General features: G+C 50.0%; 1 protein-coding gene across 27 annotated transcripts in view, besides 3 other annotated features; it reads left to right on the forward strand.

Moving 5' to 3' along the window:
* Positions 8,325–9,111: an enhancer, noted in NCBI's record as "H3K27ac-H3K4me1 hESC enhancer chr17:4735692-4736478 (GRCh37/hg19 assembly coordinates)". NCBI's record gives its function as "activates a minimal SCP1, AML or CMV promoter by ChIP-STARR-seq in naive H9 embryonic stem cells {active_cell/tissue: H9 hESC(naive)}" and the evidence as "EXISTENCE:reporter gene assay evidence [ECO:0000049][PMID:30033119]".
* Positions 9,089–9,558: a silencer, noted in NCBI's record as "silent region_8046". NCBI's record gives its function as "represses an Ori minimal core promoter by ATAC-STARR-seq in GM12878 lymphoblastoid cells {active_cell/tissue: GM12878}" and the evidence as "EXISTENCE:reporter gene assay evidence [ECO:0000049][PMID:35858748]".
* Positions 9,268–22,102, forward strand: part of MINK1 (misshapen like kinase 1) — a 64,722-nt gene continuing 51,887 nt past the window's right edge. For all 27 annotated transcript variants that reach the window (NM_001321236.2, XM_006721531.2, XM_006721532.2 and 24 more), the window contains exon 1: positions 9,268–9,568. Coding sequence is in view for 26 of the 27 variants with exons in the window: in XM_006721531.2 (XP_006721594.1) it covers positions 9,512–9,568 (57 nt within the window). In the remaining variant the exon portion in view is untranslated. The remainder of the gene's footprint in view (positions 9,569–22,102) is intronic.
* Positions 9,569–9,818: a silencer, noted in NCBI's record as "silent region_8047". NCBI's record gives its function as "represses an Ori minimal core promoter by ATAC-STARR-seq in GM12878 lymphoblastoid cells {active_cell/tissue: GM12878}" and the evidence as "EXISTENCE:reporter gene assay evidence [ECO:0000049][PMID:35858748]".

Genomic DNA, 22,102 nt, shown 5'->3' on the forward strand with positions numbered 1-22,102 from the left:
AGTAGCCACTAGCCACTAGCCATGTTTGGCTATTTCTTTTTCTATTTATTATTATTATTATTTTTTTTTTGAGACGGAGTCTTCTCTGTCACCCAGGCTGGAGTGCAGTGGCATGATCTCAGCTCACTGCAACCTCCACTTCCCAGGTTCAAGCGATTCTCCTGCCTCAGCCTCCTGAGTAGCTGGGACTACAGGTGTGTGCCACCACGCCCGGCTAATTTTTTTTTTTTTGAGACAGAGTCTTGCTCTGTCGTCCAGGCTGGAGTGCAGTGGCGTGATCTCAGCTCACTGCAACCTCCACCTCCTGGGCTCAAGCAATTCTCCTGCCTCAGCCTCCTGAACAGCTGGGATTACAGGCGCCCGCCACCACGCCTGGCTAATTTGTATATTTTTTAGTTGGCCAGGCTGGTCTCGAACTCCTGACCTCATCATCCACCCACCTCAGCCTCCCAAAGTGCTGGGACTACAGGCATGAGCCACTGCACCCAGACTAATTTTTGTATTTTTAGTAGAGACAGGGTTTTGCTATGTTGGCCAGGCTGGTCTCAAACTCCTGACCTCAGATGATTCACCCGCCTCGGCCTCCCAAAGTGCTGGGATTACAGGTGTGAGCCACCGTGCTGGGCCTGGCTATTTCAATTTAAGTGAATTAAAATTAGAATTAAAAATGTAGGGGCTGGGCACAGTGGCTCACGCCTGTAATCCCAGCACTTTGGGAGGCCAAGGTGGGTGGATCACTTGAGGTCAGGAGTTCGAGACCAGCCTGGCCAACATGGTGAAACCCTGTCTCTACAAAAATAAAAAAATTAGCCGGGTATGATGGCGGGTGCCTGTAATCCCAGCTACTCAGGAGGCTGAGGCATGAGAATCGCTTGAATCCAAGAGGCAGAACTTGCAGTGAGCCGAGATTGCACCACTGCACTCCAGCCTGGGCGACAGAGCAAGCAAGGCTTTGTCTCAAAAAAAAAAAAAAAAAAATTTAGTCCCTTACACTAGCTACATTTCAAGTGCTCAGTAGCCAATTGTTGCCAGTAACTAACATATTGGACAGTGCAAGTATAGACCATTTCCATCACTGCACAGAGTTCTACTGGACAGCCCTCTTCCCAGAGGGAAGAGGTGGAAAATATGGCAAGGTCTATGGAAGCGTATTGCACATACCAAACTGGGAATGGTTACCTTCCAGAAGAGGTATACAGAGAGAATGTCACTGGTAACAATGGTAAATTTTTTTGACGGGGAGGGGCAGACAGAGTCTTGTTCTGTCCCCCAGGCTGGAGTGCAATGGCACAATCATAGCTCATTGCAATGTTGAACTCCTGGACTCAAGAGATCCTCCTGCCTCAGCCTCCTGAATAGATGGGACTACAAGCATGTGCCACCACACCTGGCTAATGTTTTTATTTTTTGTAGAGATGGGGTCTTGCTCTGTTGCCCAAGCTGGTCTTGAGCTCCTGGGCTTAAGTCATCTTCCCACCTCAGCCTCCTAAAGTGCTGAGATTACAGGCATAAATAGCACCTGGCCCTTTTTATTTCTTTTCTTTTTTTCTTTTTTTTTTTTTTTGAGATGGAGTCTTGCTCTGTTGCCCAGGCTGGAGTGCAGTGGCACAATCTCAGCTCACTGCACCCTCCGCCTCCCAGGTTCAAGCAATTCTCCTGTCTCAGCTTCCTGAGTAGCTGGGACTACAGGCGTCCACTACCACGTTTGACTAATTTTTTTATATTTTTAGTAGAGACGGAGTTTCACCATGTTGGCCAGGCTGGTCTTGAACTCCTGACCTCAGGTGATCCACCCTCCTCGGCCTCCCAAAGTGCTGGGATTACAGGCACAAGCCACAGCACCTGGCCCCTTTTATTTTCTTAAACTGAGTGTATATAAAAGCTGGGCATGGTGGCTAAAGCCTGTAATCCCAGCTATTCAGGAGGCTGAGGCAGGAGGACCAAGAGTTCAAGCTCAGCCTGGGCAACATAGCAAGACCCCATCTCTAAAAATTTCTTAATTAAAAAAATATAAACACACATATTCATAACTTTTTGTATGTCTGAAATTTTTTATTTTTGTTCCTTTTTATTTTTTAGAGACAGGTCCTGCTTTGTGGCCCAGGCTAGAGTGCAGTGGTGCGATCACAGCTCTCTGCAGCTTTGATTTCCTGGGCTCAAGCAATCCACCTCAGCCTCCAGAGTAGCTGGGACTACAGGTGCATGCCATGGTGCCCAGCTTATTTATTTTTTCATTTTTGAGACAGGCTCTCAGTCTGTTGCTAAGGCTGGAGTGCAGTGCAGTGGGTAATCATGGCTCACTGCAGCCTGGACCTCCTGGGCTCAATCAATCCTTCCGCCTCAGCCTCCTGAGTAGCTGGGATTACAGGCAGGCGCCACCATGCCTGGCTAATTTTTGCATAATTTAGTAGAGACGGGGTTTCACTGTGTTGGCCAGGCTGGTCTCAAACTCCTGACCTCATGATCCGCCCTCCTCGGCCTCCCAAAGTGCTGGGATTAGAGGCATGAGCCACCGTGCCTAGCCCAAAATATTTTCTTTTCTTTTTTTTTTTTTTTTTTTTTGAGACAGAGTTTCAGTCGTTGCCCAGGCTGGAGTGCAATGGCGCGATCTTGGCTCACCGCAACCTACGCCTCCCGGGTTCAAGTGATTCTCCTGCCTCAGCCTCCCAAGTAGCTGGGATTAGAGGCATGTGCCACCACGCTCGGCTAATTTTATATTTTTTAGTAGAGACGGGGTTTCTCCATGTTGGTCAGGCTGGTCTCGAACTCCCGACCTCAAGTGATCCGCCTGCCTCGGCCTCCCAAAGTACTGGGATTACAGGTGTGAGCCACCGCACCCGGACCCAAAATAATTTCAATTAGAAAAAAATGTAGGTCGGGCACGGTGGCTCATGCCTGTAATCCCAGCACTTTGGGAGGCCGAGGTGTGGGGATCACAAGGTCAGGAGATAGAGACCATCCTGGCTAACATGGCGAAACCCCCTCTCTACTAAAAATACAAAAACAGCCGGGCACGGTGGTGGGCGCCTGTAGTCCCAGCTACTGGGGAAGCTGAGGCAGGAGAATCGCTTGAACCCGGGAGGTGAAGGTTGCAGTGAGCTGAGATTGCGCCATTGTACTCCAGCCTGGGCGACAGAGCGAGACTCCATCTCAAAAAAAAAAGAAAGAAAGAAAGAAAAAAATGTAGCACAAGTCCTGGCTCTTGCCCTTCATTCCCACAGCCTCACGCCCCAGTCTCAGAACTGACCGCAGATGCAGGAGGAAACTGAGGGGGGTGAAGTATGGAGATTAGGAAGCCCTCCTGGAAGAGAGATGTGCTGGGTGGGTGAGGCATGAAGAGGGGATGATGTTGCTCTGCCTCATCCTCTCCTTCGAGTTCAGCCCTCAGTCCTCACAAGAAGCTAAAGAAGCTACTTCTGTGCCAGAATTCCCCCCTCCTACATATAGCGGTCTCCTGGTACTAATTGGCATCCTGTTAATTAGCCTCATTGTCAGCACTAACTGCCTGTTTCCCCGAGGGGGACCATTACCTCATTCACCGTGGAGTGAGATAGAGGCAGCGGTTGCCCCAGGCTGGGCCAGGGGTGCCGAGGGCTTCTGCTTCACACTCTCTGCCTTCGCCTCCCTAGTCCTGGAGGTTTTTGTTTGTTTTCGGTTTTTTTTGAGATGGAGTCTTGCTCTGTCACCCAGGCTGGAGTGCAGTGGCACAATCTTGGCTCACTGCAACCTCCACCTCCCGGGTTCAAGCAATTCTCCTGCCTCAGCCTCCCGAGTAGCTGGGATTACAGGCCCCCTGCACCGTGCCTGGCTAATTTTTGTACTTTTAGTAGACACGGGGTTTCACCATGTTGGCCAGGCTGGCCTGGAACTCCTGATCTCGTGATCCACCCGCCTTAGCCTCCCAAAGTGCTGGGATTGCAGGCATGAGCCACTGTGCCCAGCCTAGTCCTGGAGTTTTTTAAATGGAGACCAACCATAGTGAGGGGGGGTGGGCGGTGGAAGCAGAGGGCTTAGAATCAGAAGAGTTGGCTCTAAACCCAGAATGGAAAAAGGAGCCTCTATGACTGAGGCATTAGTAAATTTATTGAGGACCTAGTATATGCTAAGTGCTTTACATAAATTATTTTATCCTAACCTCCCTATTATTATCATCTCCATTTTACAGATGACAGAGTTGAGCCTCAGAGAGGTTAGTGATTTGCCTAACGCACTACCTCCAAATTCTATGCTTTTTCCTACTATCCCATGGTCTTGACTTTGAACTGCTACAGTGCCCACCCAGACAACAGATGCCTTCATTACTTTTTTTTTTTTTTTTTTGGGGATGGAGTCTCGCTCTGTCGCCCGGGCTGGAGTGCAGTGGCATGATCACAGCTCACTGCAACCTCCGCCTCCCGGGTTCAAGCAATTCCCCTGCCTCAGCCTCCCACCTAGCCGGGATTACAGGTGCACACCACCACGCCCAGCTAATTTTTGTATTTTTCATAGAGACAGGTTTTCACCATATTGGTCAGGCTGGTCTCGAACCCCTGACCTCAGGTGATCCACCCGCCTCAGCCTCCCAAAGTGCTGGGATTACAGGCATGGGCCACGGTGCCTGGCCACCTTCATTGCTTAAGTGTTAGTGATTTTCTTTCTTTTGTTTTTTTTTTAAGCGTTATTGATTTTCTAGTGGGTGCCAGGCCATGTGCTGAACAAGACTAATATTATTCCTGCTTTTAAGGAGATTCAAAAGACATTTACAATTCAAATCATTAAATGTTACCATGGACTAAAGCCAGGCAGCTAAAACAGAAGAACCAAACTTAGTCTTGGTGAGTCAAGGAACGCTTCATGGAGGAGGTGATTTAGACACGTAGGACAAAGCAAAGCACGGTAAGAATGGGCATGGTCAAGAGGCTAGGGAATATTCCAAAGAGAAAACAGAGTACATGCAAAGGTTGGGGGAGAGAAAGTTGAGTTCTGGGAAGTGAGTAGAGTATTTCAGTATGGCTGGAAAATGTGAGGTCTAATAGTTGAGTATTGAAAAGTAAGGCAGGCACTGAGCAGGGTGGTTCATGCCTATAATCCCAGCAACTCAAGAGCCTGAGGCAGGATTAACACTTGAGCCCAGGAGTTGGAGGCTGCCGTAAGCCATGATCGTGCCACTACACTCTAGCCTGGGTGATAGAGCAAGACCCCAACTCCTAAAGAAGCAAACCGTTAACAAAGAAAAAGAAGGCAAGAAAAGCCAGCAGAATCTTGAAGGGTCTTTGATGCCACACTTTGCCTTTTTTTTTTTTTTTTTTTTTTTTTTTTTTATGAGACAGAGTCTCACGCTGTCACCCAGGCGGGAGTGCAGTGGTGCAATCTCAGCTCACTGCAACCTCTGCCTCCTGGGTTCAAGCAATCCTCTTGCCTCAGCCTCCCAAGTAGCTGGGATTATAGGCACACCCCACCACGCCCGGCTAATTTTTTGTATTTTTAGTAGAGACGGCATTTCACCATGTTGGCCAGGCTGGTCTCGAACTCCCAATCTCAGGTGATCCACCTGCCTCAGCCTCCCAAAGTGCGGGGATTACAGGTGTGAGCCACCATGCCCAGCCAATCTGGTTTTTGTTTTGTTTTGAGATGGAGTTTCGCTCTTGTTGCCCAAGCTGGAGTGCAATGGCATGATCTCGGCTCACCACAACCTCCGCCTCCCAGATTCAAGAGATTCTCCTGCCCCGGCCTCCTAAGTAGCTGGGATTACAGGCATGCGCCACCACACACGGCCAATTTTGTATTTTTAGTAGAGACGGGGTTTCTCCATGTTTGTCAGGATGGTCTCGATCTCTTGACCTCGTGATCCACCTGCCTTGGCCTCCCAAAGTGCTGGGATTACAGGCGTGAGCCACCGTGCCTGGCCTTTTTTTTTTTTTTTTTTTTTTGAGACAGAGTCTCGCGCTGTTGCCCAGGCTGGAGTGCAGTCGCCTGCCTTGGCTTCCCCAAGTGCTGGGATTGCAGGCATGAGCCACCACGCCCGGCCAATTTTTTTTTTTTTTTTTTTTGAGACGGAGTCTTGCTCTGTCGCCCAGGCTGGAGTGCAGTGGCACGACCTCGGCTCACTGCAAGCTCCGCCTCCGGGGTTCACACCATTCTCCTGCCTCAGCCTCCGGAGTAGCTGGGACTACAGGCGCCCACCACCACGCCCGGCTAATTTTTTTTTGTATTTTTGGTAGAGACGGGGTTTCACCGTGTTAGCCAGGATGGTCTTGATCTCCTGACCTCGTGATCCTCCCGCCTCAGCCTCCCAAAGTGCTGGGATTACAGGCGTGAGCCACTGCACCCGGCTTTTTTTTTTTTTTTTTTTTTGAGACGTTGTCTTGCTCTGTCACCCAGGCTGGAGTGCAGTGGCACGTTCTCGGCTCACTGCAACCTCTGCCTCCCGGGTTCAAGCGATTCTTCTGCATCGGCATCCCGAATAGCTGGGATTACAGGCGCCTGCCACCATGCCCGGCTAATTTTTGTATTTTTAGTAGAGACATGGTTTCACCATGTTGTCCAGGCTGGTCTCAAACTCCTGACCTCAGGTGATCCACTCGTCTCGGCCTCCCCAAAAGTGCTGGGATTACAGGCGTGAGCCACTGCACCCGGCTTTTTTTTTTTTTTTTTTTTTGAGACGTTGTCTTGCTCTGTCACCCAGGCTGGAGTGCAGTGGCACGTTCTCGGCTCACTGCAACCTCTGCCTCCCGGGTTCAAGCGATTCTTCTGCATCGGCATCCCGAATAGCTGGGATTACAGGCGCCTGCCACCATGCCCGGCTAATTTTTGTATTTTTAGTAGAGACATGGTTTCACCATGTTGTCCAGGCTGGTCTCAAACTCCTGACCTCAGGTGATCCACTCGTCTCGGCCTCCCCAAAAGTGCTGGGATTACAGGCGCAAGCCACCGTGCCCGGCCAATTTTTTGTATTTTTAATAGAGACAGAGTTTCACTATGTCTGCGAGGCTTGGCCGGTTGTGGTGGTTCACGCCTGTAATCCCTGCACTTTGGGAGGCCAATGCAGGTGGATCACCTGAGACCAGGAGTTCGAGACCAGCCTGGCCAACATGATGAAACCCCGTCTCAACTGAAAATACAAAAAATTAGCTACGCGTGGTGGCGTGCACCTGTAATCCCAGCTACTCAGGAGGCTGAGATAGGAGAATTGCTTGAACCCGGGAGGCGGAGGTTGCAGTGAGCCAAGATTGTGCCACTGCACTCCAGCCTGGGCAACGAGAACAAAACTCTGTCTCCACCAAGGTGACATTTTCCACCCTGTGTCCTGTTCCCCAATAAAAACAAATTCACAAATTCACAAAAAAACTAAACTAAACTAAAACTGTCTAAAAAAAAAAAAAAAAAAAAAAAAACAAACAAAAAACCCCACCATGTTGGCCAGGCTGGCCTCCAACTCCTGTCCTCAAGGGATCCTGTAATCTCCGCATTTTGGGAGGCCGAGGCAGGCAGATCACTTGAGGCCAGGGGTTTGAGACCAGATTGGGCGACATGGCAAAGCCCCATCTCTACAAAACATATAAAAATCAGCCAGGTGTAGTGGCATGCGCTGCCTGTAGTCCTGGCTACTTGGGAGGCTGAGGTTGGAGGATAGCTTGAGCCCAGAAGCTTGAGGTTGCAGTGAGCAGAGATCATACCATTGTACTCCAGCCTGGGTGACAGAGCGAGACTTTGTCTTTAAAAAAAAAAAAATAGAGGCTGGGCACAGTGGCTGACGCCTGTAATCCCAGCACTTTGGGAGGCCGAGGCGGGCGGATCACGAGGTCATGAGATCGAGACCATCCTGGCTAACATGGTGAAACCCCGTCTCCACTAAAAATACAAAAAATTAGCCGGGCGAGGTGGCGGGCGCCTGTAGTCCCAGCTACTCAGGAGGCTGAGGCAGGAGAATGGCATGAACCCGGAAAGCGGAGCTTGCAGTGAGCTAAGATCGCACCACTGCACTCCAGCCTGGGCGACAGAGTGAGACTCTGTCTCAAAAAAAAAAAAAAAAAAAAAAAAATAGAATTGACTTGAAGGAGTCAGGCCGGAAGGCCAAATAGGAGATGAATGGGGATAGCGGCTTGAATAAGGGCAGTGGCAAGGAAAATGGGCTAGGGGTTAGGGAAGGGGGCCGACTGGCTGTGCACCCAAATGCTAAAAACGGTCCAGAAAGGAATGTGTTCAGCTATTTTTCAAGGACTTCTAAATTAAACTCTCTTAAATGATGTTTATATTAAGGCTGGTGGTGGAGTCTTTCAGAGGCAGTGTTGGTGCTAGAAGAGCTCTTGAGGATCATACAGCCTCCCCCCTCAATTTCACAGTGAAAGAAAACCTCAGAGAAGCAAAGCAACTTGCTCAAGGTCACACAGCATTTCAGTGGTAGAACATGACTCGTGGTTCTTAGATAGCATTACCCAGCCTCCACTGAGGCTAATGGCTGTAGGCGCTATGCCAACATGACTAGATCTAAGGTGACCCAAGCTATATTTTAAGGGACTGAACGCAGATTCCCTCTCTTCCCCTTCGCCACCCCTTCCTCCACGCGCGACTCCAGTGATCAATGAATAATTGTGGAAACAGTTCCTTTGTGCAGAACACTTTGTTAAAAGAGGTGCAGAGATACACGTCTGCGGTAGGATTCCTTATCCTGAGATCTGAGAGCACCTCGATGCTTCCCCAACCTGCTAGGTGAGGGTGGAAAGGGCATTCCTGAGGCAGCCGGTGCCCCTCCTCTGCCCCCCAACTCCCACGTGGTTTCTCCAGCCAAGTTCTCACGGAGTGGCCCCTCCCTCAGCGGCTCCACTGTTGCCATAGCAATTGGGTGGGTGGACAGCCCGTCCTATCTAGAGGCCACCCAGCCCTCGCGTGGGGAGTTACCATAACAACCCCCTAGTAATAGAGGGGGTTGGGTACCGCCCCCTTCCCCCGCAAATGGAAAGGTGGGTGGCTTGATTGGCAGCTGGGCACACGAAAGAAGGAGGGAAAGGGAAGGAAAGGCGTCAAAGGAGATCTGAGAAGGAAATAAGGGAGAGAAAGGGCAAAAAAAATAGGGAAAGAAAAGGAAACGCGTGTGCGCACGCGCACCAGCTGGTGGGCGCGCTCCGCGGCCGCCTCGGCCGCCGCCCACTTCTTTCACGCCAGGCTCGCGCGGTCGCTCCGTCCTCGCGCGCGCCTTTCGCCTGCTCGCCTGCGCCTGCGCGCAGGTGTCGGCGCCTAGGGGGAGGGGGCCCCGGCGCGCTCGCGTCACGCTCGCGCTTCCACCCTCCCAGTGCGCGGTCGCTCCGCGCCTGCGCAGGAGAGGTGGTAGGCTCGGGTGGCTGGCTCCGGGGAGATAGCGCCTGTCAGTCGGTGGGTCGGTCCTCGCGCCGGCCCTCCCCCTCCCCGGTCTCCGGGGGAGGCGCGGTGGAGTCCGCCCCCGGGGTTCTCCGATGGGGGAGAAGCGGCGACGGCGGCAGTGGAGTAACCGAGCCGGAGCGTGAGCGGCCCCGGTGCCCCGTTCCCCACGGAGGCCATGGGCGACCCAGCCCCCGCCCGCAGCCTGGACGACATCGACCTGTCCGCCCTGCGGGTGAGCGCGCCGTCCCCCAGCCTCGCCCTGGTTCCTGTCCCCGCCGCAGGGGAGGGAGCGGGGTGGCTGCACGCCTCACGTGCTCCCGGGCGCCCCCTCCACCAGCTTGGGTCCCCTTGGCGACCCGTGCCCCTTTCCCGGACTCCCGCCGCGGCTGGGCCCCCGCCCTCTGCTCCCTTCTCTCTCCACTGGCTGCAGATGCTGGGAGCCAGTTCGGTCCCCACCCTGTGGTGCCCCGCCCCCACACTTCCGTGCCACCCTACCTTTACTCTGGGGTTCGGGACCCACTGGTTCGCCTAAACTTAGCCTCCCCCATCACCTGGAGAACCTTTATTGTGGTTCCTTACCTCCTTTCGGCCCTTTTCCACCTTTGCCCTTACTTCTATCTTCTTCCTTCCCCTCCTCTTCCTCAGCTCCTGGAATTTTGACTTTGCAACTGTCTCGACAGCCTCTCTCTCATCCCTCTTTCTCTGCCTCGCCCACCCTTGAATTGCATCCTTTCCCTGGTCGGAATTTCAGCTACCCCACCCCTCGTGCCGTCACCCTCAATCCCATGTTCAGTTTTCCCTATCCCTTCTCTCCTGTTTCAAGTGCAGCAGTTCAGAACCAGGCATTTCCGGTCTCAGGGTCCCTGAATATTACATGACCAACTCTGCAGCAGCGTGGGGCTGGGAGCCCTCGGGGAGGAGGGGAGGCATTTCTTCTCTTTGGAAACTGTAGCACGGGCTGGGAAGAGGATGTTTACACACACACACACGCGCACACACGACACATGCTACATGTGGTCAGGCTGAAGGTTTGGAAAGGCAGTGGGTGTTTATGTTAGCTAAAGGCTGGAAGCAATGGAGACCTCTCAAGGTAGGGGCTAATAAGGAAAGGGGTTGAGAGGAAGCAAATGCTGCAGGAATTTCTTGGAAATACCCGTTCATTGTCCCTTGTGGGGCACTTACACACTCTGGTGGAAGAGCTTTCTGTAGCATTTATGTTTTTCTTCGGCAGGGAGCTTTGGCTTAAGGGGCAACTTAGTGATTTCAAGGTGAACACTCCAGACTATCAGCCAGGTGGTGTTTTGATCCTGTGCCCTTCCAGCGCTCTCACCAGGCCAAGGTGTGGGGAGAGCAGGACTTCCCATCTCTAGGTTCGCTTCTCTGGAGGCCCCTGCTCAGACTGTCTTCTGGCTTTTGAGTCAGCCAGGGAACATGGCCAGTAGTGGGAAAAGGCGGTCAGCCACACAGGTGCCCCGGATATGGCTGGAGGGGAGAGGGGAATTGAAGAGAGCAGAGTCATGTTGTTAATTGGGTTTCTCTAGGTGACACAGTTTTTTTTCTTCCCATTTTCAGGTCATAATTTGTTTGGTGCAATGTTGGGCTATGAGACCTGACTTGCTGGAGATAACGTGATAAATTTCTGGGGAGAGGGACTGAACGCTGAATTTCTCTGTGTGCGCAGGCACATGTGTGTGTGTTGATGAGGAGAGGGTCTGAAGGCTTTAGGAGGGAGATTCTTAAGGTCAGCTTGGCCAGGGTTTAAACTGGGATGCCCAAGTCGGGATATAAGATGGAAATCCAGATTCTGAGTAAAAGTCCCTTAATGTGCTCCATTCTGGGATGAACTTCCACCTTTCCTTCCTACCTTGGTTATTGATTAACTGGCTACAGGTTCCTGTGGCTGGGGTGACTAAAATACAATAAAAAATGGGTGGGTCAGGCCGGGCGAGGTGCTCACACCTGTAATCCCAGCACTTTGGGAGGCCGAGGTGGGGCATCACCTGAGGTCAGGAGTTCGGGACCAGCCTGGCCAACACTGTGAAACCCCATCCTTACTAAAAATACAAAAATTAGCCACACGTGGTGGCACACACCTGTGATCCCAGCTACTCAGGAGGCTGAGGCAGGAGAACTGCTTGAACTGGGGAGGTGGAGGTTGCAGTGAGCCAAGATTGCACCACTGCACTCCAGCTTGGGCGACAAAGCGAGACCTTGTCTTAAACAAAACAAAACAAAACAAAAAAACGGGGCGGGTCCAAACCACAACCTTTGCTTTGAACCTTGTGGGACTCTGCTTGGGTTTCTCTTTTAGCCTCTTTTGGTAGTTTGGCCTGGACCCTCAACCTGGGATTTCCAGCAATTCCACAAATACCCTCTGACCTTAGATGTGGTATTTCCCTTCTGGACTTCTCGGCTTGAAGCAATGTTAGCCTTCCTCAGTTGCCTCCAGCCTTACTCTCCTCTCCCCTCAGGAGACCGGGTGACCTGCTCCCAGTGCTTCTGTCTGGCCTGCCTTAAGCTGCTTAAGAAAGCATTCTGCTTCCCCCTTTCCACCCTAAAATGCAAGGGCTTGAGGGAGGGCTGTACCTCCTTTGACATGGGGCTAGCCAGGGCCTACCTTCTCCCTGCTGCAGACCTTTTCTCAGTGCCTGTCCCCCTGACTCCACCTCAGAGAGCTGTGGCACTGTCAAGCAGCTAGTGTGGTCATCTCTTGTGCTATTCCTGTCTGTTTTCCAGTGAGAAATGGTGTCTCCCTTTACTACACCATCTTGTGTTGGGGGCTGGGGAGAGGGATGGGAGAGGAACATATTCAGTATTTATTTGCTGGCCTTAAGGAGCCCAAGGTGTATTTCTCCTCTTGTTTCAAGATAAGGCTTGGTTTTCAGCTGGTGATGAGGGTAATCGTCTGATATTAGGGAAGATTGAATTGCGTTAATCTCTTAGCCATGTGTGGGGAGGCCAGATGGACCTGCTACTTTGTAGCCACAGCCACACTTGACCTCTTTGAGGTTCCTTTTCTCCACCAGCCTGGCTGCAGCGTGGTGAGGAAAAGCATGTGGTTTGAAGTTGCAGCCCTGAGTTCAAGTCCTAGTTTCTTCCCTTACAATGTAACCCTGGCCCTGCTCCCCTTACTGCAGATTCTGCCAAGAGCCTTACCCTCTCTAAGCTTCATTCAGTCCTGTATCGTGGGCATGGTAATAGTACTGAATGCAGAGTTGCTGAGGATTAAATGCACGTTAAGTACATAGTACAGTTCCCAGCACACAGTGATCATATATGTGATAGCCCTTTTTGCAGTTATTTTTATCAAATGGCAATCAGAGAAGCCTTCCAGGACAACTTTATCTAAAATAGCACTCCCTCCTCTGCTTTATTTTTATACAAAATTTTATATAGCATTCCCTTAGTCTGCTTTATCCTTCCTCATAGTATTTATCACCAGCTGACATATATATTCCTGTCAGCCCCACTAAAATGTCAGTTCAGTGGCCGGGTGTGGTAGCTCACGACCGTAATCCCAGCACTTTGGGAGGCCGAGGCAGATGGATCACCTGAGAGGTCAGAAGTTCGAGACCAGCCTGGCCAACATGGTAAAACCCCATCTCTACTAAAAAAAAAATACAAAAAAATTAGCCAGGCATGGTGGCGCACACCTGTAATCCCAGTTACTCGGGAGGCTGAGGCAGGAGAATCACTTGAACCTTGGAGGTGGAGGCTGCAGTGAGCCAAGATTGCACCACTGCACTCCAGCTTGGGCGACAAAGCCAGACTCTGTTTCAAACAACAACAACAACTACAACAAACAGTTCGGTGAAAGCTAAGATTTTGGCTGTTTTGTTCATTTTTGTATCCCCAGTGCCTGTAAGCATGTTTTGCACATAATGGGGGCTCAAACGTTTGTTGCAGAAGTGCCTCTTACAACACGTGCCACTTACAACACAGTGCAGTGCTTGCTTAGAGAAAGTATTCAATAAACCCCAGGCTTCTTAGGCTTCATTTTGCCCCTCTTTTATTTATGCACAATTAAGAATATATTTTTTCTGGGATGTTTTTAGAATCAGACCTTGTCTGGGGTAAACAGTTCTGGAAGCCTCCAGCTGAGCGATGCCCTTGAAGTAAAGTTAGGATCATCCAAGAGAAAATGTGGGCCTCTGTGTCTAAGCTTGGTTATATTCCAGGAGAACCTTCTGACTTGGAACTCTTGGCTTCTCACAAAGGATAAATATCAGTGGAAGTGGATGGGACAAGGAGGGGGCAGGCCCCGGCCTGACCTCTTTCCTTTTGCATTGCTCCTTTTGGTTGACCCACTTCGTAAATCAAACAGCTTCTTTTTACCATCCAGCTCGAAGTTTGACTGCAGTGTCCTTGAAACTGTGGAGCTATGCTTAGCGTCGCTGGATTGAAATCATAGCATGGAGCACATTCAAGGAGGACTTGTTGCTCGGTGGTAGCTGCTGACAGAGATGTTCTTTTTCAAATGATTTTGTGTTGTTGTGTCTGTTCTTTGGATAAGTGTCTTCGCCTTCCTCCTCTCTTCATGCGGCTGTGGAGCCAGCACCACTCGGAAAGCTGGCAGTTCTGGGCATGTATTTCTAGGCTGCTGAGCAACGTGGGACTGCCTCTGTGTTCTGATGTGCTAGCTGTCCAAATGTTGATGACAGATGCCTTAGGCAGGAGAATGGGAAGAGTGACCTCCTGCTGCAGAAGTAAGGACATTCAATAGTGACTTTTTTCCCCTGGAAAATTGCAAAAGGGGAATGGGGCTGTTTGGAGAGCTCGAGGCATTTAGATGAAGTGAAATGCTGCCTTGGCAAAATGACGGAAGGAAGATTACTGAGAACTTGGCTGAAACTAGGTGATCAGTCATTCCCCAAACAGAGGGAGAGACATCCCCACCCTTTATGCTATGGGATAGGACAGTTTGCCATAGTCCTTAGGGATATACACAGCAGGGAGGTTTTGACAGTTAAGATAACAGTAAGGTCAGCAAGAGAGCCAGCTGGCCCACCCCCTCACTCTTGCCCCAGGAGCTCAATTAAAACTCTGCTGGGTAGAATCCTGACTTCACATCTGGCCTCCATTCCTTTCCGCATTGAACTGTGTGCCTAAGACAGGGTAGCACACACAACTTGCACATGTAAACCATCTTTGTTTGTCATTTAGGGGACATGATGGCAGGAAGTGTGCAGCCGCTCTTGATAAGCTTGTATTCTGGTGTAGGTCTGTAGATAAGGCATGCAGTAACCTCTCAACCCAGAAACATAAAGCAATTCTGGACTGGAGAACATCTCCAGAAGCCGGTGAGAGTCTGCCTGTCTAATATTTCTGTCTCCAGACAAAGTTGAATCAGAGAAAGTTATCAATAATCCCCTGTCCTCCACCAGTCAGTCGCCAAGCATTGGCAGTCTATGTATTGAGAATCAGGTTCCAGATTCTATGGAAAGGATGTAATATAGTACTCAGTCCTCTACTAAGCTATTTAACCAGATCTCTGGGGACATCCACCCAAGCAAAGCAATGCCTTTCCAAGCCTAGACTCTTTTTTTTTTTTTTGAGACGCAGTCTCGCACTGTCGCCCAGGCTGGAGTGCAGTGGCGCGATCTTGGCTCACTGCAAGCTCCACCTCCCAGGTTCACGCCATTCTCCTGCTTCAGCCTCCCGAGTAGCTGGGACTATAGGCGCCCGCCACAATGCCTGGCTAATTTTTTGTATTTTTAGTAGAGACGGGGTTTCACCGTGTTAGCCAGGATGGTCTTGATCTCCTGACCTTGTAATCTGCCCGCCTCAGCCTCCCAAAGTGCTGGGATTACAGGCGCGAGCCACCGTGCCCGGCCTAGACTCTTTTTCTTAACTGTTACTGTTTTCCTCAATATCCTGCAACCTTCAAGGTTGGGACATTTTTGTTAAACCTGATTTCCATGAATTACACTCATTTTCTGTGGTCAGTGGGCAGTCATCTTGAAACCTGGTCTTCAGCCCCACTCCCTTCGACACCTACTTTTTACTACTATCTGTCTCAGTCTTCTCTTTCCTGGATTGAAGACAGAACAAAAGTGATCAGGTTAATAAGTCAACTCTCAAAGCATTTCTTGAATTCACACAGAGTATAGTAAGATACAAAAACGTGACTTGGTAGAAGACTTGGATCCTGTCCACAGCTCACGGCCATTTGCTCTCTCCAGTTCTTTTGCCATTCTCCTCCGAACCAACCAGTCCTTGACTTGAGACTGGGCTTCTCTTATCTATAGGAAGCTCTTCTAGGGGGTAATGGAAAAAGGGTTTTGAGGCTCTTTGTTCTTACTAAGGGCGGGAATAGTAAAGGGAGGAGAGAAAAGAGGGATGGAATTGTAGTGACCCAAGAGAGCCCCTGGAGATTTTGTCCAGTGGCTAGACAGCCTGAGGTTGTACGTGCTACGTGTGGGTAGGATTTTGTGTTCTGTTTGAGGAAAGATCTAGAACTAGGCACAGAGGACACAGTGGTGATACAGTCTAGTAGTAGGGAGAGACATTAATCAAGTAATTATTTATTAATGTGTGTGTGTGTGTGTGTGTGTGTGTGTGTGTGTGTGTGTGTGTGATTGCAAGCCATGATAAGGACTGTAGTGAAAACTTTAACATGCCGTGGGCACATATAACAAGAGTTGTTTTGAGCATATGTTCTCAGGATCTCCTGAGGGCTGTGTCATGGAAAAAAAATTGCTTTTACGAGACAAAACTTTTATAAGACAAAAATATCTAGTTGATTGAGAGAGACGTAAATCATGTCAGAAAGCTAAACTGGCATTGCTGCAGAAAGATGAGATAGAGTTGAACCAGCAGGTAGAGTTTGGTGATGGTGAGAATTGGGAGACTCTGGAATGGGGCCATTCTTATGGTGAAGCATTTGGTCAACAATTGAGGGCAAGAAGCCTGAGGATGGGGTGGAAACTCCAGGCTTAATTCCAAAAGGATTTCTTCTGAATCTTCCTGTGGGAGGGGAAAAAAAATGGTTTATTTGTTTGTCTCAAAAGTTAAGAGCATGTATATGGAAAGAGCTTATGACTCATATAATCCTCATTTTTACTTACTGGGGGAGGGACTCTGGGTCCTGGGTCTGTAGTTTAGATGTGGCTCCTCAGAATGGGGTATATGAGAGAGGAGGGTGTATCCCTAGATGTTATTAGCCTAAGGGGTGCCTGGAGTTTGGAAGGTAGGTGAGTCTCACGGAAATAAGAACAAGTAGGCCCAGCCCTCAGCTTAGCTGCATGGTCTGTGGGAAGTGGGATTCTTTCTAACATTGGATAGATAGTGTATATAAATAGACAAGACTCTCCATTTACATTGTATACAAGTAAAGGATGAGTGGGGTGTGGAGGGGGAGTGTTACTGATTTTGCGTGTTTGAAAGGAAACAGGGTTGGGGAAGCCACAAGTCTTGGGCTTCCTGAAGGAGCCAGGCTCTGGGACCAGCTTGAATGTCGGGAGGATGGCAGCGTAGAAGACGGTGAGGTGGGCTGTGAGGAGAGTTTGGTGGCACAGCCTGTGGGAGGAGCCTGGGTGGCTGGAGAGAGATGAATGGAGGAAATGGGGACGAGCTGCCTAAGAAACGTGGTGATAGTTGGCGAGGGAGGAGACAGGAAGACCTTTGACAGAGGAGATAGCTGAGACCTCAGGTTCATCCACAGCAGGTAAATTCCAGGGCCACACGGGACAGGCGACGTGGGGAGTGTCTGTGGTCACAACTGGGGGCCCCAGCACTTAGAGCCTGTGACTCAGTATGTACACGTAGCACCAAATGCTTTTTGGTTCTGTCTTGGGCATCTCCGCACGGGCACTTCCGCCAGTGGTTTCTTCCATTGCCTTTGGGATGAGCAGGCCTCCTGAAAGCAGGCCTGATATTCTCTGGTCTTCTGACAAAGAATGGGAAATTTCTCACACCGTCTTGTTCCAGGAACCACCTGGGGATGGGATTTGAAGGGCTTGGGTTGCCGAATTGCTCCTAGAACCACAGGCTTAGAGGAGTTTTCTATGAACAGCGGTCCTGGCAGGGACAGACTGAGGATCGGTAGGGCTGAATGAAGACAATCCCACCTCCTTCAAGAGCCACCTCAACTTATGTTTTTTTCCCACAAAGCCCCCCCTCCGATTTTGCCAGCCTTTACTGATCACATCATCCACTTTCTCACAGACCTTACAATTTAGCATTGGCTTATATATTGCCTTATATTGAATAATGTTTTATGGTCTTGTTTTTCCTACCACTTCCTTATGTGTAGAGACTGTGATCCATATTTCCTCTTGATCCCTGTAAAGATGCTGAGCACACAGTAGGGGTTCAGAAATTACTTGGTAAGAGACATGGATCTAAGTATGTCTGTGACTGGACCTTTCCTACTAGATTCAATCCACAATTAGTACAGGGTGCCCAGTATATGCTGGGCACGGTGGGATACAAAGCAGTACAGGTGCTGACTCTGGTTCTCAGCCAGGGCACCGCTGGCCTCCAGGGGGTGTTCGGAAATGCTGAGGAGGGAGGATTAACTGTCTTGGGAGCACCGGGCACGGTGGCTCACGCCTGTAATCCCAGCACTTTGGGAGGCCGAGGCGGGCGGATCACGAGGTCAGGAGATCGAGACCATCCTGGCTAACACGGTGAAACCCCGTCTCTACTAAAAATACAAAAAAAAATTAGCCGGGCGCGGTGGTGGGCGCCTGTAGTCCCAGCTACTTGGGAGGCTGAGGCAGGAGAATGGCATGAACCCGGGAGGCGGAGCTTGTAGTGAGCCTAGACCACGCCACTGCACTCCAGCCTGGGCGACAGAGCGAGACTCTGTCCAAAAAAAAAAAAAAACTGCCTTGGGAGCACTAACGGCATTTAGCACATGGGGATTGGGGATGTTAACCATCTGGCAGAGTCTGGGACAGTGCATCGAAGAACTGTTTTTCCACCCGTATTGCCACTGGTACCTCTCATGAACTTGTTATGGACATGGGAGAGACCCGGGGAGGGACTGGACAGGTTTCTTCCATGAAGTAGGAAGTAGTTCCTAAGTCCCCTGTGTACTTCTTTCCAGGTAGAGAGAGGAATGTGGGCTCTAAATTACCCTTGTGCATGGCACATATCTAGCAGCTTTTGTCTGCTAGCATACCTCTGGAGGTAAAATAGGTAGGCTCCCAGCCAGACTGTAAGGAAGATTTTCATGTTCTCTTTTCACCACCCACCCACTCTTTCTTTCAAGGCACATTTTTAAGAAAGTGGCTGAAGCTTGCAATACTTAGTCTTTAGTTCTAAGTGACTCAGGAAAGAGTCTTCAAGAAAACAGTTGGACAGAGTGCCCCAAAGCCTAAGCAGCGTGAGGCAAAGATAGGCAGGTGCATGTGGCGTCTTAGAGAGGGGCCAGCACATCGTCTCTTCTCTGGGGTCTTTTCATCCTACACTTGTCTTTTTGAAGACAGAGGTGTGGTGAATGAATGTCATTACTTACATCTGGGGGAGTGACCAGAGACAGTAGAAGACACCTTGCCCTAGTGTATCCTTTCAGGGTGGACCAGTGGCTGGGAAGCAGCACAGCTGAGCGGGATGAGCTGGAGCTGTGCAGAGCTGCCTTCCACAGCTCGCTGTTTCCCAGTCCCAGTCAAGAGAGCAGAACTTGGTAGGCTCCTGGCCTTGGGTAGCTAAGGTTTGGAGGAGGTGGAGAGAGTCCGCCTAACCTTAACAAGGTCATTCCTCACAGTGGAAACTACCTGAGCCCCACGTGTCGAAGCAGGGTAGGGGGAACAGGCAGGATGTGGATCAGAAGTTGGTTTGGGCTGGGCGCAGTGGCTCATGCCTGTAATCCCAGCACTTTGGGAGGCTGAGGCAGGCAGATTACTTGAGGTCAGGAGTTCGAGACCAGCCTGGCCAACATAGTGAAACCCTGTCTCTACTAAAAATACAAAAAATTAGCCAGGCATGGTGGGAGGCACCTGTAATCCCAGCTACTGGGGAGGGTGAGGCAGGAGAATCGCTTGAACTCAGGAGGCGGAGGTTGCAGTGAGCCTAGATTGCGTCACTGCACTCCAGCCTGGGCGACAGAACGAGACTCCGTCACAAAAAAAAAAGAAAGAAAAAGAAAAAGAAAAAAAAGGAAGTTGGTTGGTTCTAGTAAGTCCTTTTTCTGTCTGTCTTCTGTTTGGAACAAAGATTGCTGTGATAAAGTCATTTATATTATGATGCAGATTCATTTCAGAAGGGGGTGTTTGGGGTTGGAATAAGAACCGTAATGAACACTTACTGTGCAGTAGGTTCTTTCCTTCTGTAATCTCATTGTCCCTCACAAGAACCCTTTGAGGTGGACAATATTATCCTCATTTGCAAGATGAAGAAACCAAAGCTTACAGAAATTAACTTGGAAGTTAAGTAACTTGCCTGAGGTTGGACAGCCAGTAAGCAGCAGAGCCCACATTCAGACTCAAGTCTGACTCCAAAACCTGGGCTGCCATGCTGTTGGAGGGAGACCTGCTCCCACGTGGCGGTGGGTATTTGGGGGTGGGCACTGAGGGGAGGACAGGAGGGCAGTGTGTAGCTGGCACTCTAGACTACATGCAACTGGTATTGTTTTCTGCCTGTTTTTTGGTTTCTTTTTGCTTTTTTTGAGATGAACTCTTGCTCTGTTGCCCAGGCTGAAGTACAGTGGTGCGATCTAGGCTCACTGCAACCTCCACCTCCCAGGTTCAAGATCCTCCTGTCTCAGCCTCCCGAGTAGCTGGGATTACAGGTGCGCACCACCACACCTGGCTAATTTTTGTATTTTTAGTAGAGACAGGGTTTCACCATGTTGGTCAGGCTGGTCTCGAACTCCTGACCTCAGGTGATCCACCCACCTCGGCCTCCCAAAGTGCTGGGATTACAAATGTGAGCCACCGTGCCCGGCCTGCCTGTTTTAATTGTAAATGTGTGATATTTCTGTGACTTATGGTAAACAGGCTTTGTGGGCTTACTGAGGACTAAAACATTATCCATAACGTTTCTTGGTAAAGTTTTTGGAGACTTTTGGAATATGGCCTGTTTCATGGGCTGGAGACAGTCTGTATGAGAGATAGTTACTGCCCTCCAGGAGCACTTGGCCTCTAGATCTGTGTCTTAATAGAGGACACCTTTTATTCGTATACCTGGGTCTTTTTGAGGTGGGGAGAGTGAGTGACCTCAGCCTGAGCTGAACAGGTGGTGGGTTGGCACTGGGGAGCACATGTTGGGAATACAGAGCTCCACGGGGCTCGTACCCAGAACTAATAGAGATTTCTAAATGTAGGGCCGCTGGGTAGATCACTGTGATGATGAAGAGGACATGCAGAAGACTTCAGAATATTTGGTCTGCAGGAAAGATAGTCGAATAATTCAAAAGAAAGCCTCTTCAGAGGGAGGAGAGGAAGGCTGTCTCATTTCCCCCCACCCTTTAAAAATGTGTTGTTGTTGTTTTTTAATGTGATTAAGTATATGTAAGACTTACCATTATAACCATTTTTCAGCGTACACTTCTGTGGCATTAAGTGCATTCACATTGTTGTGCAACTGTAACCACTATCCATCTCCAGAACTTCTTCATCCTCCCCAAATGAAGCTCTGTACCCATTAAACACTGACTCTCTGAACCCTCCACCTTCCAGCCCCTGGCACCCACCATTCTGCATCTCATTGTCTTTTGTGTGTGCAGAGTTGAGCAGAGGGTCTGACCGAGCAGATGTTTAATATTTGTTGAGTCCGCCTAGGTGCATGTCTCAGAAGTCCATGTATCATCAGCCAACCCAGAACACAACCCCCCTCCCAGCTCTAATGCAAGATGACAGGCTTCTGAAAGGGATTTTAAATGAAATGGCTGTCTGGAATCACAAGAGGATTGGGCAGCAGCAAGAGAAGTTAAGGGTTTCTGTTCCGTATTCAGTTCCTTTTGCCACCCCCCAGCCATGACTTGCGTTCTGGTTCTGCTATGCTCATGTTCGTCATCTTGCTTGTTTTCAGCCTCTTACTTCATCTCATCCTGGGGGTCTGATGGGTAGGTGCTAGAGGAAGTTGGAAATAAGGTCGTTTAGGGGATGAAGATCATAGAATGTAACAGCATTTCTGTATTAGTATGTGAGGGGTACATGTGTTAAAGGGCGGTCAACCCTCCTGGACCTCCAGGCCTCGACAGTTGAGAGCCAGGTCAGGCTCTGTATTCCTCTAGTGTTCATACTCCTGGACAGACCCAAAGCATGACCTGGAATTGAGTTGGATTTTTTTTTTTTTTTGACAGAGAGTCTTGCTCTGTCACCCAGGCTGGAGTGCGGTGGCACAATCTTGGCTCAACTGCAGCCTCCACCCCTGGGTTCAAGCGATTCTCCTGCCTCAGCCTCCCAAGCATAATAGCTGGGACTACAGGCATGCGTCACCACGCCCAGCTAATTTTTGTATTTTTAGTAGAGATGGAGGTTTTACTGTGGTGGCCAGGCTGGTCTCAAACTCCTGACCTCAAGTGATCCACCTGCCTTGGCCTCCCAAAGTGCTGAGATTGCAGGCGTGAGCCACCGCATGTGGCTGAGTTGGATATTTTAGAACACAGATGAATGCAATGGCCTCCCTGGCCTCCTCACTTTCCCTCATCCTTGCTATTTACAGTTTCTCATTGACCTTCATGGGGAAGGAGGAAAAAGGGAGGGAGTGACACACTTATTCTCCAGGTGGCCCAGGAAGAGAGGAGGGCAGGAGAGCCCCCTGTCTTAGAGGTCAAAATACAGGCCTCTAGCTGGTAGGCTGGGGTGGTATCTTAGGG

Source organism: Homo sapiens, chromosome 17 (assembly GCF_000001405.40).
Source record: "Homo sapiens chromosome 17, GRCh38.p14 Primary Assembly".
NCBI lineage: Eukaryota > Metazoa > Chordata > Mammalia > Primates > Hominidae > Homo > Homo sapiens.